Consider the following 15,743-nt stretch of genomic DNA (forward strand, 5'->3'; position numbering starts at 1 on the left):
AGGAAAGAGGGAGAATTAATGCTGGGCAGACAAAAAGAGATTCCTACTACAAACTGTCAAGGGCTTTTAAAATGACATTACTTGTAAATTTGTTTGAGTTCATTGTAGATTCTGGATATTAGCCCTTTGTCAGATGAGTAGGTTGCAATAATTTTCTCCCATATTGTAGGTTGCCTGTTCACTCTGATGGTAGTTTCTTTTGCTGTGCAGAAGCTCTTTAGTTTAATTAGATCCCATTTGTCAATTTTGGCTTTTGTTGCCATTGCTTTTGGTGTTTTGGACATGAAGTCCTTGCCCACGCCTATGTCCTGAATGGTAATGCCTAGGTTTTCTTCTAGGGTTTTTATGGTTTTAGGTCTAACGTTTAAATCTTTAATCCATCTTGAATTGATTTTTGTATAAGGTGTAAGGAAGGGATCCAGTTTCAGCTTTCTACATATGGCTAGCCAGTTTTCCCAGCACCATTTATTAAATAGGGAATCCTTTCCCCATTGCTTGTTTTTCTCAGGTTTGTCAAAGATCAGATAGTTGTAGGTACGCGGCGTTATTTCTGAGGGCTCTGTTCTGTTCCATTGATCTATATCTCTGTTTTGGTACCAGTACCATGCTGTTTTGGTTACTGTAGCCTTGTAGTATAGTTTGAAGTCAGGTAGTGTGATGCCTCCAGCTTTGTTCTTTTGGCTTAGGATTGACTTGGCGATGCGGGCTCTTTTTTGGTTCCATATGAACTTTAAAGTAGTTTTTTCCAATTCTGTGAAGAAAGTCATTGGTAGCTTGATGGGGATGGCATTGTTAGAATGGCAATCATTAAAAAGTCAGGAAACAACAGGTGCTGGAGAGGATGTGGAGAAATAGGAACACTTTTACACTGTTGGTGGGACTGTAAACTAGTTCAACCATTGTGGAAGTCAGTGTGGCGATTCCTCAGGGATCTAGAACTAGAAATACCATTTGACCCAGCCATCCCATTACTGGGTATATACCCAAATGACTATAAATCATGCTGCTATAAAGACACATGCACACGTATGTTTATTGCGGCATTATTCACAATAGCAAAGACTTGGAACCAACCCAAATGTCCAACAATGATAGACTGGATTAAGAAAATGTGGCACATATACACCATGGAATACTATGCAGCCATAAAAAATGATGAGTTCATGTCCTTTGTAGGGACATGGATGAGACTGGAAACCATCATTCTCAGTAAACTATCGCAAGAACAAAAAACCAAACACCGCATATTCTCACTCATAGGTGGGAATTGAACAATGAGATCACATGGACACAGGAAGGGGAATATCACACTCTGGGGACTGTGGTGGGGTGGGGGGAGGGGGGAGGGATAGCATTGGGAGATATACCTAATGCTAGATGACGAGTTAGTGGGTGCAGCGCACCAGCATGGCACATGTATACATATGTAACTAACCTGCACAATGTGCACATGTACCCTAAAACTTAAAGTATAATATAAAAAAAAAAAAAGAAGAAACAGGTGAGATTTATTATAATAAAACATTTTATTTAACCAGAAAAAAAATAAAATAAAATGACATTACTACCTTGAAGCTGCCCCTCTGGTCCTACTCTTATCCTTTCCTGGGATTATAAGGATTCCCTTCTCTTTTTTGCCCTGGTCCTATGATATTTTTGGTTTATCTGTCAATGTGATTATAATTTTAGCTATAATTTTTTTTTTCACTTTTTTTTTTTTTCCCTGAGACAGAGTCTTGCTCTGTTACTCAGGCTGGAGTGCAGTGGTACGATCTCAGCTCACTGCAACCTCCACCTCCTGGGTTTGAGCAATTCACCCTGCCTTACTTAGCCTCTCAAGTAGCTGGGATTACAGGCGTGAGCCACCAAGCCCTGATTTTTCCCTTTTTTTTAGAGCTTACTTTCTATGGTCAAACTAACCCTTTGTGGTAGAAATTTGTCTTGCCTTGTACCATAGGTAGATTTAAACATGTGAGATTTTGTATGCTTGTCCAGAGGTATGCCATAGCTTTGACTATTATTATTAATAACTACTGAGTTCTTACTTTCAACTTGGCATGATGTTATAAGAGATGCTAAGTTGCCCTTGAGGCTGGGCGCAGTGGATCACACCTGTAATCCCAGCACTTTGGGAGGCCAAGGCAGATGGATCACTTGAGGTCAGGAGTTCGAGATTAGCCTGGCCAACATGGTGAAACCCTGTCTCTACTAAAAATACAAACAAACAAACAAACAAAAAATTAGCCAGGCATGGTGGCATGCACCTGTAATCCCAGCTACTTGGGAGGCTGAAGCAGGAGAATCACTTGAATTCAGGAGGCAGAGGTTGCAGTGAGCCGAGATCGTGCCACTGCACTCCAGCCTGGGCAACAGAGTGAGACTCTGTTTCAAAAATAAATAATAAATAAATAAAATTTAAAAATAAAATGTGATCAGCTTATTTTAAAATAATGCTTATTTTTTAAGTTATTTTTCACATAATGCATTTCAACTTATTGGTAATAAAATCTCCACATCTCCCTATTATGGGATAACTTGTGTTCCCCCAAAGTAATTTACTGACATCCTATACCCAAGTACCTGTCCATGTGACCTTATCTGAAAATAGGACCTTTGCAGATATAATCAATTTACAGTGTATTCACTGGGCCCTAATCCAACATAACTGGTGTCCTTATAAGAAGACGACGTAAAAGACAGGCACTCAGGGAGAATGCCATGTGACCACAGGAGCAAAGGCTGAAGTAATACAGCTACAAACCCAGGAGCTGCAAGTACCCATGGTCACCCCTGGAAGCTAGGAAGATACAAGGAAGGATTCTACCCAGAGTTTCAGAAGGAACATGGCTCTGCCGACTTCTTCACTTTGGACTCTGGTTTCCAGAACTGTGAGAGAATAAATTTCTATTGTTTTAATCACCCAGTTTGTGGTATTTTGTTATTGCAACCCTAGGAAACTAATACATGTCCCCTCCACAACCAGACTCGTTTCTTCTTCTTTCTTCCTGCACCAGCCTTAGATTGTAACTCTTACAATTACTGTAAGAGTGGTTCCTGAATTTTAATACACACACATCACCTGGGGATCTTGCTAACAAGCACATTCTGATTTGGTAGTTATGGACGGGGTCTGAGAGTCTGTTCCCAGGTGATGCTGGACCAAGGACCAAGCTTGGAGAAGCAAGGCTATAAAAAAGTCAACCAGGCCCAGTGCGGGAGCTCACACCTGCAATCCCAGCACTTTGGGAGGCTGAGGCGGGTGGATCACTTGAGGTCAAGAGTTTGAGACAAGCCTGGCGAACATGATGAAACCCCGACTCTACTAAAAATACAAAAATTAGCTGCGCGTCCCAGCTACTTGAGAGGCTGAGGCAGGAGAATCACTTGAATCTGGGAAGGGAGGCGGAGGTTGCAGTGAGCCGAGATCATGCCACTGCACTCCAGCCTGGGCGACAGAGCGAGACTCCGTCTCAAAAAATAAATAAATAAATAAAACTAAATTAAATTTTAAAAATTAGCTGGGCGTTGGCCGGGCACAGTGGCTCATGCCTGTAATCCCAGAACTTTGGGAAGCTGAGGCAGGCAGATCATGAGGTCAGGAGTTCAAGACCTGCCTGGCCAACATAGTGAAACCCCGTCTCTACTAAAAGTACAAAACTTAGCAGGGCATGGTGCCTGTAGTCCCGGCTACTCGGGGGGCTGAGGGAAGAGAATCTCTTAATCCAGGAGGCGGAGGTTGTGGTGAGCCAAGATCACACCACTGCCCTCCAGCCTGGGCAACAGAGCGAGACTCCGTCTCAAAAAATAAAAATAAAAATAAAAATAAATTAGCTGGGCGTGGTGGTGTGCGCCTGCAATCCCAGCTACTCTAGAGACTGAGACAAGAGAATCACTTGAACCTGGGAGGTGGAGGTTGCAGTGAGCCGAGATGTCTTTGTCAGGCATGTTTCAGATCTAGGATTTTTGGCTTTTTGCCACAATGCTAGCAGAGATTAAATGGAAAAACCCAGTGGAACGAAAAGAAGTATTCATGGAACTTGTGTCTTGTGCCTCTCCCCTAAAGAAGAAAGAAGAATGAGGAGGAGGAGGAGGAGGAGGAGAAGGGGGAGGGGGAGGGGGAGGGAAGGAAAAGAAAAGAAGTAAACAAAATATCCAAGGGGAAAACAATTACTTTTCTTTCTTTCTTTTAGAGACAGTGTCTTGCTATGTTGCCCAGGCTGGTCTTGAACACCTGGGCTCAAGCAATCCTCTCTCCCGCCTTGGCCTTCCAAAGTGTTGGGATTGCAGGCATGAGCCACCACACCTGACCTAAAAATTTCAAAATACACTTGAAGATTATTGTCCAATCAACTCCCTCTCCCCACCTGCACAAAAGATTTAGAATACAAATATTTCAACCTTGTTTTCTAAATAAGTGAATTTATGAATATAATAGTGAGCTGATATTTTATGTGGTCACTTTTTTCTCTTTTTCCTTTTATCTCATCAAATTCCTTTTTAGCATAATTTTATTTTTAAAATGGTGATTTCCAAATGAAACACTGCAGACTGAGAGATGAATGAGCACCATAATGGAACAATATAGGCCAACTACCCTGGAGTTACTGATGTTACTACTTGGGAATAGTGGTGACTTTGAAAAAGTTCAAAGACTAACTTTGAAAGCATTTCAAAATGCCTATTTTTGGCTGGGTGTCGTGGCTCATGCCTGTAATTCCAGTACTTTAAGAGGTCTAGGTAGGCGGATCACTTGAGCTCAGAAATTTGAGACCAGCCTGGGGAGCATGGAAAAACCCCATCTCTACAAGAAATACAAAAATTAGCCAGGTGTGGCACACGCCTGTAGCCCCAGCTACTTGGGAGGCTGAGGTGGGAGGATCACCTGACCCTTGGGAGACTGAGGCTGCAGCAAGCAGTGATCATGCCACTGCACTTCAGCCTGGGCAGCAGGGTAAGACCATGTCAAAAAAGAAAAAAATGCCTATTTGGGGGGCTTCACTTTCAGAGATAGTGTCTTTAAGCCTGAGGGCTGGTCAAGGAATTAAGAGTTTTTCTATAACTCTTTGGGTAATTCTGACACAAAGTCAGATTGGAAAAATATTACTCTGAAATAAAGAAAATTTATAGAAACTTGATTTTATTTTATAAACAAAGTTCTAATTAAAAAAAAAAAAAAAGAGCCGGCCAGGTATGGTGGTACACCCTTGTAATCCCAGCACCTTGGGAGGCCGAGGCAGGCGGATCCCTTGAGCCCAGGAGTTCGAGACCAGCCTGGGCAACATGGTGAAACCCTGTCTCTTAAAAAAATACAAAAATTATTCAGGCATGGTGGCACACACCTGTAGCCCCAGCCCCTGGGGAGGCTGAGGTGGGACTATCACCTGATTCTGGGGAGGGTGAGGCTGAAGTGAGCCAAGATCCCACCACTTCACTTTAGCCTAGGCGAGAGAGTGAGACCATGTCTCAAAATAAGTAAATAAAAATAAAAAGGAAGAAAGAAAAAGAGCCGAGTGGTGGTGCACGCCTGTAGTCCTAACTACTGGAGAGGCTGAGGCGGAAGGGTTCCTTGAGCCCAGGAGTTCGAGGCCAGCCTGGGCAACACAGAAAGACTCTCTCTTTTTTTTTTTTTTTTTTTTTTTTTTTTTTTTTTTTTTTTTTGAGACGGAGTCTCGCTCTGTCGCCCAGGCCGGACTGCGGACTGCAGTGGCGCAATCTCGGCTCACTGCAAGCTCCGCTTCCCGGGTTCACGCCATTCTCCTGCCTCAGCCTCCCCAGTAGCTGGGACTACAGGCGCCCGCCACCGCGCCCGGCTAATTTTTTGTATTTTTAGTAGAGACGGGGTTTCACCTTGTTAGCCAGGATGGTCTCGATCTCCTGACCTCATGATCCACCCGCCTCGGCCTTCTCTCTTTAAAGAAAAAAAAAAAAAAAGAAAAGAAATTTGTCTATATAAATATACAGTTAAAGCAAACAATATAATATATAAAACCAAATTTGGAAATATTTTTTCCTTCCATCAAAACTTAAACATCAATTTTAGAACACAGTGTTCTATATCGTAAGGAGTCCTAGAGTCTACCCAGTATAATGTCTCACATCCTCGCCCTCTTGCTATAGTTGTCAAACCTAAATGTACCTAAGAATCACTGATAGGTAGTTGGTTAATACGATGGATTATTTCTAGGCCCCGACCTCAGACAGGTGCCTCCATGCCCCCACCCAGCCAGGACATTCTGAGTCTGTAATTTGAAGTGAGCTTCAAGAATCTGCATTTTTACCGCGGCGCTTTTGATGCAGGCGGTCCACGGTAAAGTTAGAGAAATGCTGCCCTGCTGCTGCGCTGCAGATTGAACTCTGGGGAAGAAGAAATGAGCACGACCGGGAGCGGTCCATCTAAACCGGTCCATTTAGATGGACAGGTTTTAGCAGTCCATCTAAATCTGTCTCAGGAGCTTTCTTTCTTTCTTTTTTTTTTTTTTTTTTTTTTTTTGAGACGGAGTCTCGCTCTGTCGCCCAGGCTGGAGTGCAGTGGCACTCACTGCAAGCTCCGCCTCCCAGGTTCACGCCATTCTCCTGCCTCAGCCTCCCGAGTAGCTGGGACTACAAGCGCCCACCACTACGCCCGGCTAATTTTTTGTATTTTTTAATAGAGGCGGTGTTTCACCGTGTTAGCCAGGACGGTCTCGATCTCCTGACCTCGTGATCCGCCCGCCTCGGCCTCCCAGAGTGATGGGATTACAGGCGTGAGCCACCGCGCCCGGCCTGTCTCAGGAACTTTCAAAGGGGAGTGGCAGACAGAAAATGAGCACGGTATCTAATCAGCAAGTAGGATTGCAAATAAGAACGCCTTTATGAAGGCCCCAGTTTTTACAGTAAGTCCCTCACTGCCCGCACACAACGATGCCAAGTTCCAACCTGATTTGCGTCACCACAGTTGTGGGTTTGCGCCAAGGTTAGTTATCAAGCGTAGTGAGAGGATAAATTCACAAAATGAGGGACAAAAATAAGACGAGAGCTGGGTACAACGGAAGTGAAACCTGGGTGGAGGTCATCTCCAAATCACAGTGGAAGGACGATGTCAGGGATTTGTCCCAACACTCTTTTGATGAAAGAATTTGATTAGTGGACTATTGCACTCTTAAAGGCAAAGAAAACAAAGCACGGCAGTGCCCCGCTCGGTCGGGATTCAAAAGCAGTGAAAGCTGCCTTGCTCTGTTTAAAGCGACAGGACTGCTCTGCTATTCAGGAAAGACTAAGGAGGCAGCGGTATCTGCGAAGTCCTGCGAGCTCCCGGCGACAGGAGTAGCGCGAGCAGCTGACGGGGGAAATCCACTGGCAGCGAGTCGGATGAGTCAGCGCTGAGTCACGCTCGGCGCTACGTGCCGGCCTGGGCGGCCGCAGCCCGGGGCCCGCAGCCGCGGAGTCAGCAGAGATCCGCCGCTTCCTGGAAGACCCTCCCTGCGCCTGAGGGAGGGGGCGGCGTCGCCTCCTCGCGCCGCCAAGGCCCCCTGCAGTCACACACTCGCCCGCACGCACGACCTCCTCGCTCCATCCTGGGGACATCCAGGATTCACCCCCGAGGGGAAGAGTCCCATGTGACAAATGGTTAGAGCTTGGGCGGATGCTTTCATCCCATGTGTTTCCTCAAAGCTGAGATTCCAGCGCTCTTGCTCTTTTCGTGTTGTTGTTAGGTTTTTAACTTTTTTTTCCCGTTTCCTGGCAGAGGATTAACACGCTGATCTTTTTATAGTTTCCAATATTTTAAATGAAGCACAAGAAGAATGGATTAATAAAACGTGTTGAAACTTAAGCATCAAATCGTCACACTGCTCTGGGTTCTAAAATGACTAGAAAGTGACTGCACTAGAAGCTTTGAATGTTGGGTAACTGGGAAGGATTAACTCGGTTCTGATGTGCCCTTTGTTAATGAAAATCAAATCTTTGCTATTTGTCCAACCACCCTTATAATAACTAAATTTGTCTAAAGACTGGAGACATGTGTGGTAATAATTAGATATGGAGTCACCAAAGAACAGGGTAGCCATGCCTTTGTGTTTTCTGTGCCTTAACTAACATTCTGTTGTCCTAATGTGCAAATGATACATTGTTGGTTTTAAAAAATATTATGGCAATGTTTATATCCATGCTGAGAGTTAATAGCAGGTATTGTGTCATGAAGTGCAGCTAGTCAGTGAGATAGTCCTGATACAGGTGGGGTAATTATTATTTAGGGACAATTTGCGGCTGTTTTTCAAGACAGACTGGGTCTTTAGAAGTTGTGCCAGCTGTTACCGGTGGTTCTGCTTCATTGGGAGAATTATTTCCCTCCTTATCCCTGTGTACGTGTGAAATGATGCAAAACAATAGAGTGTTCGTGTAGTTTGACTGCTTTTCTTGCAGGCAAGGAGACTGAAGTAATTAGAGGTTGAACTGACTCACCAAGGTTACTGGAGAAGCATGACTACCCAATTTTGTAAAGGAGAGAAAAGCCCCAAACAAATACAAATAGGAAACATGAAAATACGAGAGAGGATCAGAGCCCAAGAAAGCAAAATGAGTAATATGGACCAGAAATGGAATCTCATATACTTGAACTAGTTGTAATGGGAGGTATACTTAATGCGCTAGCCTTAAAAAAAAAGTCAAATTATTGCATAAAAATTTAAGATTTTAAGTAATTACATACATCATTTGATGTTTTAAAAACTGTGCCTGATTCTGATTCATTATTCTTAGCATATCCATATGGATATTGCCTTGGCATTTACCAAGTCAGACTTCAGTTCAAAAACCCAAATTCATCTTATGACGGTGTGAACTTGGACTTGATACTTAGCTTCTCTAAGCCTATAATGGAGATTATAATCACCATTTCACCTGTTTGCAAAGCAGGCAGGATTAAATGAGATGATGCCTATAAAAGGTTTAGCACATTTCCATGCAAAAAATTTCTCAGTAAACGAAGCTTGTATTGTGTTATCAGTATTATTGAACTTGACTAAACTATTGATCAGATCACAAAGAGGTAGTACAGGTACTTTGTCCAGATCCTAGAACTAATAAAAGCTTTGGGAATGTACATCACAAACGTAGTGGTTCAGTGACTGATATGGTTTGGCTCTGTGTCCCCACCCAAATCTCATCTCGATTTGTAATCCCCACGTGTCAAGGGAGGGACCTGTAATCCCCATGTATCGAGGGAGGGAGGGGATTGGACCATGGAGTCAGTTTCCCCCATGCTGTTCTCGTGATAGTGAGTTCTCATGAGATCTGATGGTTTTATAAGTGTTTGGTAGCCCCTCCTTCATTCTTCTCTTTCGTTCCACTTTCTGAAAAAGGTCCTCGCTTCCCCTTCACTTTCTGCCATGATTGTAAGTTTCCTGAGGCCCCCCACCCAGCCATGTGAAACTGTGAGTCAATTAAACCTCTTTTTTTTCTTATAAATTACTCAGTCTCAAGTATTTCTTTATATATAGAGTGTGAAAACAGACTAATACAGTGACCTTGGGCAAGATCCTTAGACAAGAGTCTAAAACACCTGAGCAAGTACTTAATGTTCTTTGATTATGAGTGGAGAGATGAAAGAAATAAAGGAAATCTAAATAAAAGGAATGCCCTACAATCATCAGTTGGCCAGAAAAGTGGTAGGTGATGCAAAACAACCAGGCAAGAACGCTTTTCTCCCATCCTCGGAGAGAGCTCCTTGACAAAGTACCATAGCAGTCACTGGGCAGAGAGGATATACTATTGTACTATTGCCCCTTTGCCATACAGGAATGCATTATTTAGCTGAGACAGAAATTTGGTTCTGTCCAGATATAAGGCTGATGAGCTTAGCTGTTGATAGAAGTTAGTGACCAATCTCCCATCAACTTCCCCAAGCAGCTCATAAGAGATAAGTCACTAAGTCATTTTCTTTTTTTCTTTTTCTTTTTTTTGATGGGGTCTTGCTCTGTTGTCCAGGCTGGAGTGCAGTGACATGATCTCAGCTCACTGCAACCTCTGCCTCCTGGGTTCAAGTAATTCTCCTGCCTCAGCCTCCCAAGTAGCTAGGACAGGCACACACCACCACCCCCAGCTAATTTTTTGTATTTTTAGTAGAGGTGGGGTTTCACCATGTTGGCCAGGCTGGTCTTGAACTCCTGATCTCAAGTATCTGCCTGTCTCCAACCCCCAACGTGCTAGGATTACAGGTGTGAGCCACCGCACCCAGTAATAAGTCACTTTCTTGAAATAGTATTTGTCTTACTCAGCTTGGGCTGCCATAACAAAGTACCACAGACTGTGTGGCTTAAGCAATAGAGATATACTTCTCACAGTTCTGGAGATTGGAAAGATCAGGGTGCCAGCAAGGAAGGTTTCATTCTAAAGCCTCTTCTCTTCGCTTGCAGGTGGATGCTCAAATGATCTCTTCTTTGTGTACACACAGGGTGGTGAGGAGAGAGAGAAGGGGCGGGTTTTAGGCTTCAATATATGACTTTTGACGGTGTTAAAAGACAAAATTAAAACAAATTTAAAGATCAAACTGGCTTTTATTTGGGATTCTAGAATCAGGCAGCATTTTATTCTATAAAATAATGAGTGCTCTACTGGGTTTAGCAAAACAGTTACTTTTTTGTTTTTTGCTTTTTTTGAGAAAGGGTCTCACTCTGTTGTCCAGGCTGGAGTACAGTGGCATGATCAGCACTCATTGCAACAGTTAGTTTTTATATGAGAACAAGGAAACAAATATAGAAAAAAGCAGAATGGTTAACATCAGGTTACTTCAGGTTACTTTTCTTATAAGGTTTAAAGCAGAAGGACTTCCTTATTAGGGTGACTCAAGTTGACTGGGTCTTTTCCAAGTGATGGCTGTGAGTGAACCTCTTGTTTTCAAGAAAAACTGGTGTGTTTGGGGATTTATCTGCTTCCTTAAGGTTTTAGCTTGATTATGTGGTTTGGTCTATTGGGCCCTACTATGGGACCTCAGTCCAAAATAATGGCTTCCCATAAATTTTATTTACCAGGAGGGACATGACTCAGGACACAGCAATTTCTTTTTATTCTTTCTCTTATTTTTTTCTCTCTTTTCTTTTTCATTCTCTAATGTGCTTCAAAGAAAGGGATTTCAGCTACCACGGTGGCTCATGCCTGTAATCCTAACACTTTGGAAGGCCAGGGCAGGAGAATCTCCTGGGGCCAGGAGGTTGAGGCTGTAGTGAGCTATGATAGCACCACAGCACACCAGCCTGGATGACAGAGTAAGACCCTGACTCAAAACAAGACAAAACAAAACAAAACAATACCCAAAACCCCAAAAAACAGAGAAAGATATTTGTTTCAAAATTACCCCCCACCAAAAGAACACAACTCCTTTGTAAATGAAACAACAGACTCCATACATGATGATGGTTCCATAAGATTATGATGCAGCTGAAAATTTTTTAGTGACATCATAGTCATTGTAAGGTTGTAGCACAATGTGTTACCTTTTCTATGTTTAGATATGTTTAGAGATACAAACACAACTGTGTTACAATTGCCTATAGTATTCAGTACAGTAACATGCTGTATAGCTTTGTAGCCTAGGAGCAATAGGCTATGTAAACCAAAAAGTGAGACAAATCTCATCAATTTAGAGGCTTATTTTACTCAGACTGAGGACACACCAGGAAAAAGAGACACAAGTTACACTAGAATCTGTGGACTGTGTTTTTTCCAAAGAGTCTTTAGGACTTCAGTTTTTAAAGGAGAAAGAGCAGGCAGGTGGGGAAAGAGCAACAGTCAATTATACATTCCTCTCACAAAGTAAATCTGCATTTTATGTAGTATAAACATAGAGTAGAGAAAGAAATTGTATTAGTCTGTTTTCACGCTGCTGATAAAGACATACCTGAGACTGGGTAATTTATACAGGAAAAAGAGTTTAATGGACTTACAGTTCCACAATGGCTGGAGAAGCCTCACAATCATAGCGGAAGGAAAGGAGGAGCAAGTCATGTCTTACATGGATGGCAGCAGGCATAAAAAGGAGCTTTTGCAGGGAAATTCCCTCTTCTAAAACTGTCAGATCTCATGAGACTTATTCACTATCACGAGAACAGCATGGGAAAGACCCGCCCTCAGGATTCAATTACCTCCTACAGGGCCCTTCCCAGAACAGGTAGGAATTCATGATGAAATTTGGGTGGGGACACAGACCATATCAGAAGTCAAACATGAATATTTCTCAGGGTGGGCAGAGGGATGATTTCTAATCTTGTATTTGTCCAGTACCTGTGAAGGTAAACTGTTAATTTACGTTATCAGGATGTGATTCCACAGAACTCTGTTTTAGGATAAAGACTTGGGCCCACAAAGAATTTCATTGTGAGCAGTTTGTGAGGGAGGCCACGTGGGGAGCTATGTGGCCCTCTGTGCTGCAGCTGTTTAGGAGCAAAAGGAAGGCAGTTTTTGCATGACTTCTTTCCCAAGCTTAACTTCTCCCTTTGGCATAGTGAGTTTAGTATTCCAAGATTTTATTTTCCTTTCACAGCTATACTATATAGCCTAGGTGTATAGTAGGCTATACCATCTAGGTCTGTGTACTCTGTGGTGTTCACACAATGATGAAATCACCTATGGATTTGTTTCTCAGAATGTATCTCCATCATTAAGCAATGCATGACTGTATTGACAGACTCAGAATTATTTCCTTTAATAAATTCATTCAGTAATCTCTGCAATTTTCAGTACTAAATCGTGGGACGCTTAACGGTGACTATCTTTACCTCTGTACTTTTGCACTAGTTCAAGGCACATGATGACTTCCCTTCTCCTGTCTCTGTATTCAAATCCAACTCAGCCTTAATGCACAGATAAAACTCCTATTTTCTCTTTGAAGACTGATCACTAACACCTCAAGCCAAATGGATCTCACCCTCTGCAGGACCTTGTGGCATACATTGCTGTTCATGTCTTATCCTTTTGACATTTGAACTTCAGCCATGTCAAGTGGCTATGTCAGTGGTTTACATGTCTCATAAGTGTCTATATAAATGTCTCTCCAACTAAACTGTAAGCACTCTTGAGACAAGAGACAAATTCTTACATGCATGTTATAGCATCCACAATAGGTAGCAACATTCTCTGAACATTGGCGCTCAATAAATAGCAATGCAATCTTTGGCATTTTTAGATGGATACAGAAACTTTGTGATTATGAAGTTTAATATTTCATATATTTAGCAAGTAGGAGAACAGATCACAAAGAGACCTATTCCAGATCGTAGAGCTCATAAAAGCTTTGGGAATGTTCATCACAAGCATTGCTAATTCAGTGACCGTGGGCAAGATCCTTAGCTGCTCGGGCTCCGTTTTTCCTTTTGAAAAGTAACAGGAGTCGGTGCAGGGACGGGTAGGGACACACGAACACACACACAAAGAAAAGTAAAAGAGTTTATACTTTGTGATCCCAAAAGTTCTTCCCAGATTTTTTTTTTAAAAACACAGCTTAATGAATACTGTTATGAGCCAGATAGATACTAAACACTTTGTCAACATTTTAAAATTTGATCCTTGGAAATACAGCTTTGTGAGGTGAGGTGGTATCATTCCTATTTTCACAGATAAAGTAACTGAGAAATAAGAAGTTTAAGTAACTTTCCCAAGGACACTCAACTAATAAGCAGCAGAAAAGAACTGGATTGGAATCCAGGCCCGTCCAACTGCAAAGCTTGAGATCTTATACTATTCTGCTTCATTTCTGCACTCTTCATTTTTATAGAGAGACTATAACTGAGAAAAGTTAAATATTTCACCAAGAATTTCACATCTAGGAATTGGTAGAGGTAGGACTGGATTCCAAGACTAGCTCTCTTTCCCTTATCATATGCTTCAGGTATCTATTTTATCAACAAAAATTCAGAAGGGGATTGTTTTAGTTGATTTCAGTGAGTTAATTCGTATTGAGTATAATTCAACAGTGAATGTAGTTGATTGTGTTTGTTGAATAAATAAATGAGTTTATTTTCTAGTTTAGAAAACTTTTCTGTCTGGGCACAGTGGCTCATGCCTGCAATACCAGCACTATGGGAGGCTGACGTGGAAGAATTGCTTAAGACCAGGAGTTGGAGGCCAGCCTGGGCAATATGGCAAAACCCCATCTCTACAAAAAATACAAAAATTAGCCAGGTATGGTGGTGCATGCCTACAGTAGTTCCAGCTACTCAGGAAGCTGAGGAGCAAGGATGGCTTGAGCTCAGTAGGGAGGCTACAGTGAGCCATAAATGTACCTGGGCAACAGAGCACTCCAGCCTGGGCAACAGAGTGAGACCCTGTATTTAAAAAAAGAAGAAGAAAGAAAAAGAAAAAAAAGAAAAATTTTCTGACGTACCTCTGTGCTTCACCAGTTCTAAGCAAAAGTGGGTGAGAAGGTTGTTAGGGATTTCAATAACGTAAATGTAGGAACACACCAGGGTGTGAGGGGTGGCAATCACTATAATATATGAACCAGCCTTTATAGGGATGTTATTGAGAAAAGTAGAAGAATATAAAATATATTCCCTTTTAATCAAATCCAAAAGAAATAATGACACAATTCACATCATCGCTATCTCCAAGGAAGAATAAACATATCTCCCTATCTTGAGTTCAGATTACAATTTGAATCTCCACAGTACCCAGTTTTCCTCAGGGAAGAATCTCTGAAGTTATAGCCCATGAACTACGTAAAATAATTGCCACAGCCTCCTGCCTACAGAAGTTTGTTTTCTACTTTAAGGAACAAAGTCAAGAGAGAAATTCTAGGGCACTTGAGGCAATCTTTGCCTATGTTCTTTCCTTGAATAAGCCCCAGAAATGTCCTTGCGGGGTACCTTGTGGAGCCAGGCAGGCCTTGACCCATTAGGTGATGAGAGCCTACCTGAGAGCCCTCTGTGGAAAAGAAAAAATATGGAAGGCCAGGATCTGCACTGGAAGGATGATGACAATGATGACCTCATTATTTGCCCCCAACCAAGATATTCTTAGATCTACTCTGGGATTTTCTACAGCCAGACCAGAGCATAAAGTTGGCATTCATCCCAGCAGATGAAAACTTAAGCAATTCCTCAGCATTTCCATGGACCCTGAGGAAACAAGTAATAGAAAAAAAAAGGCCAGACTCTTTCCCATGGCTTCAAATATCAGAGTTGCCTTAAAGTGATTATTTACAACCATGTATGTGTTTATTCCACGAGTGTGCATAATATATGCTTTTGTTAAATGTGATGGGGAGAATGATTCACTAACATTTCTAGATAAGTTTTGAAGAATACAGGAATTTTGGATACTCTTAATGCCATATGTACTTGCCAAGGAACATTTCTTCTTATTATATTAATAACTGTAAGAAAACACAGTATGCTTATTAATACTTGCCAAATGTTGATGTACAAACAGCTTTTCTTTTCAACAAGATAATCAGATTACGTAAAAGATCTGTGTGAACCAGGGCAGGCCTAATTCAGCTGACATTTAGCCATGTGCATCTGTCCTTTTTCATCTGGCTAAGCCTGCGCCTGCCTCTAAACTGCATGCCTTGTAGGAGAGAACCTCCTTTCTAATGGAAAAGGAGGATCTTTGTTTCAGGACCCAGGAATGAAAGACTCAGAGACCCAAATGAATTAAAGACCTATCTGGAATAAAATCTAGGAGTTACCAGCGATGGTGGAAAGCACCTGTAGTCTCATCTACTTGAGAGACTGAGGTTGGAGGATCACTTGGGTCCAGTTCTGGCCTGTAAT

The 15,743-nt window shown here is 42.2% G+C and overlaps 4 annotated features.

The window, feature by feature from the left end:
• Nucleotides 6,252–7,193: an enhancer, noted in NCBI's record as "H3K27ac hESC enhancer chr5:90575335-90576276 (GRCh37/hg19 assembly coordinates)". NCBI's record gives its function as "activates a minimal SCP1, AML or CMV promoter by ChIP-STARR-seq in primed H9 embryonic stem cells {active_cell/tissue: H9 hESC(primed)}" and the evidence as "EXISTENCE:reporter gene assay evidence [ECO:0000049][PMID:30033119]".
• Nucleotides 7,192–7,451: an enhancer, noted in NCBI's record as "active region_22786". NCBI's record gives its function as "activates an Ori minimal core promoter by ATAC-STARR-seq in GM12878 lymphoblastoid cells {active_cell/tissue: GM12878}" and the evidence as "EXISTENCE:reporter gene assay evidence [ECO:0000049][PMID:35858748]".
• Nucleotides 7,192–8,135: a biological region, named in NCBI's record as "H3K27ac hESC enhancer GRCh37_chr5:90576277-90577218".
• Nucleotides 7,194–8,135: an enhancer, noted in NCBI's record as "H3K27ac hESC enhancer chr5:90576277-90577218 (GRCh37/hg19 assembly coordinates)". NCBI's record gives its function as "activates a minimal SCP1, AML or CMV promoter by ChIP-STARR-seq in naive and primed H9 embryonic stem cells {active_cell/tissue: H9 hESC(naive and primed)}" and the evidence as "EXISTENCE:reporter gene assay evidence [ECO:0000049][PMID:30033119]".

The sequence above is a fragment of the Homo sapiens genome, chromosome 5 (assembly GCF_000001405.40).
Source record: "Homo sapiens chromosome 5, GRCh38.p14 Primary Assembly".
Classification (NCBI taxonomy): Eukaryota; Metazoa; Chordata; class Mammalia; order Primates; family Hominidae; genus Homo; species Homo sapiens.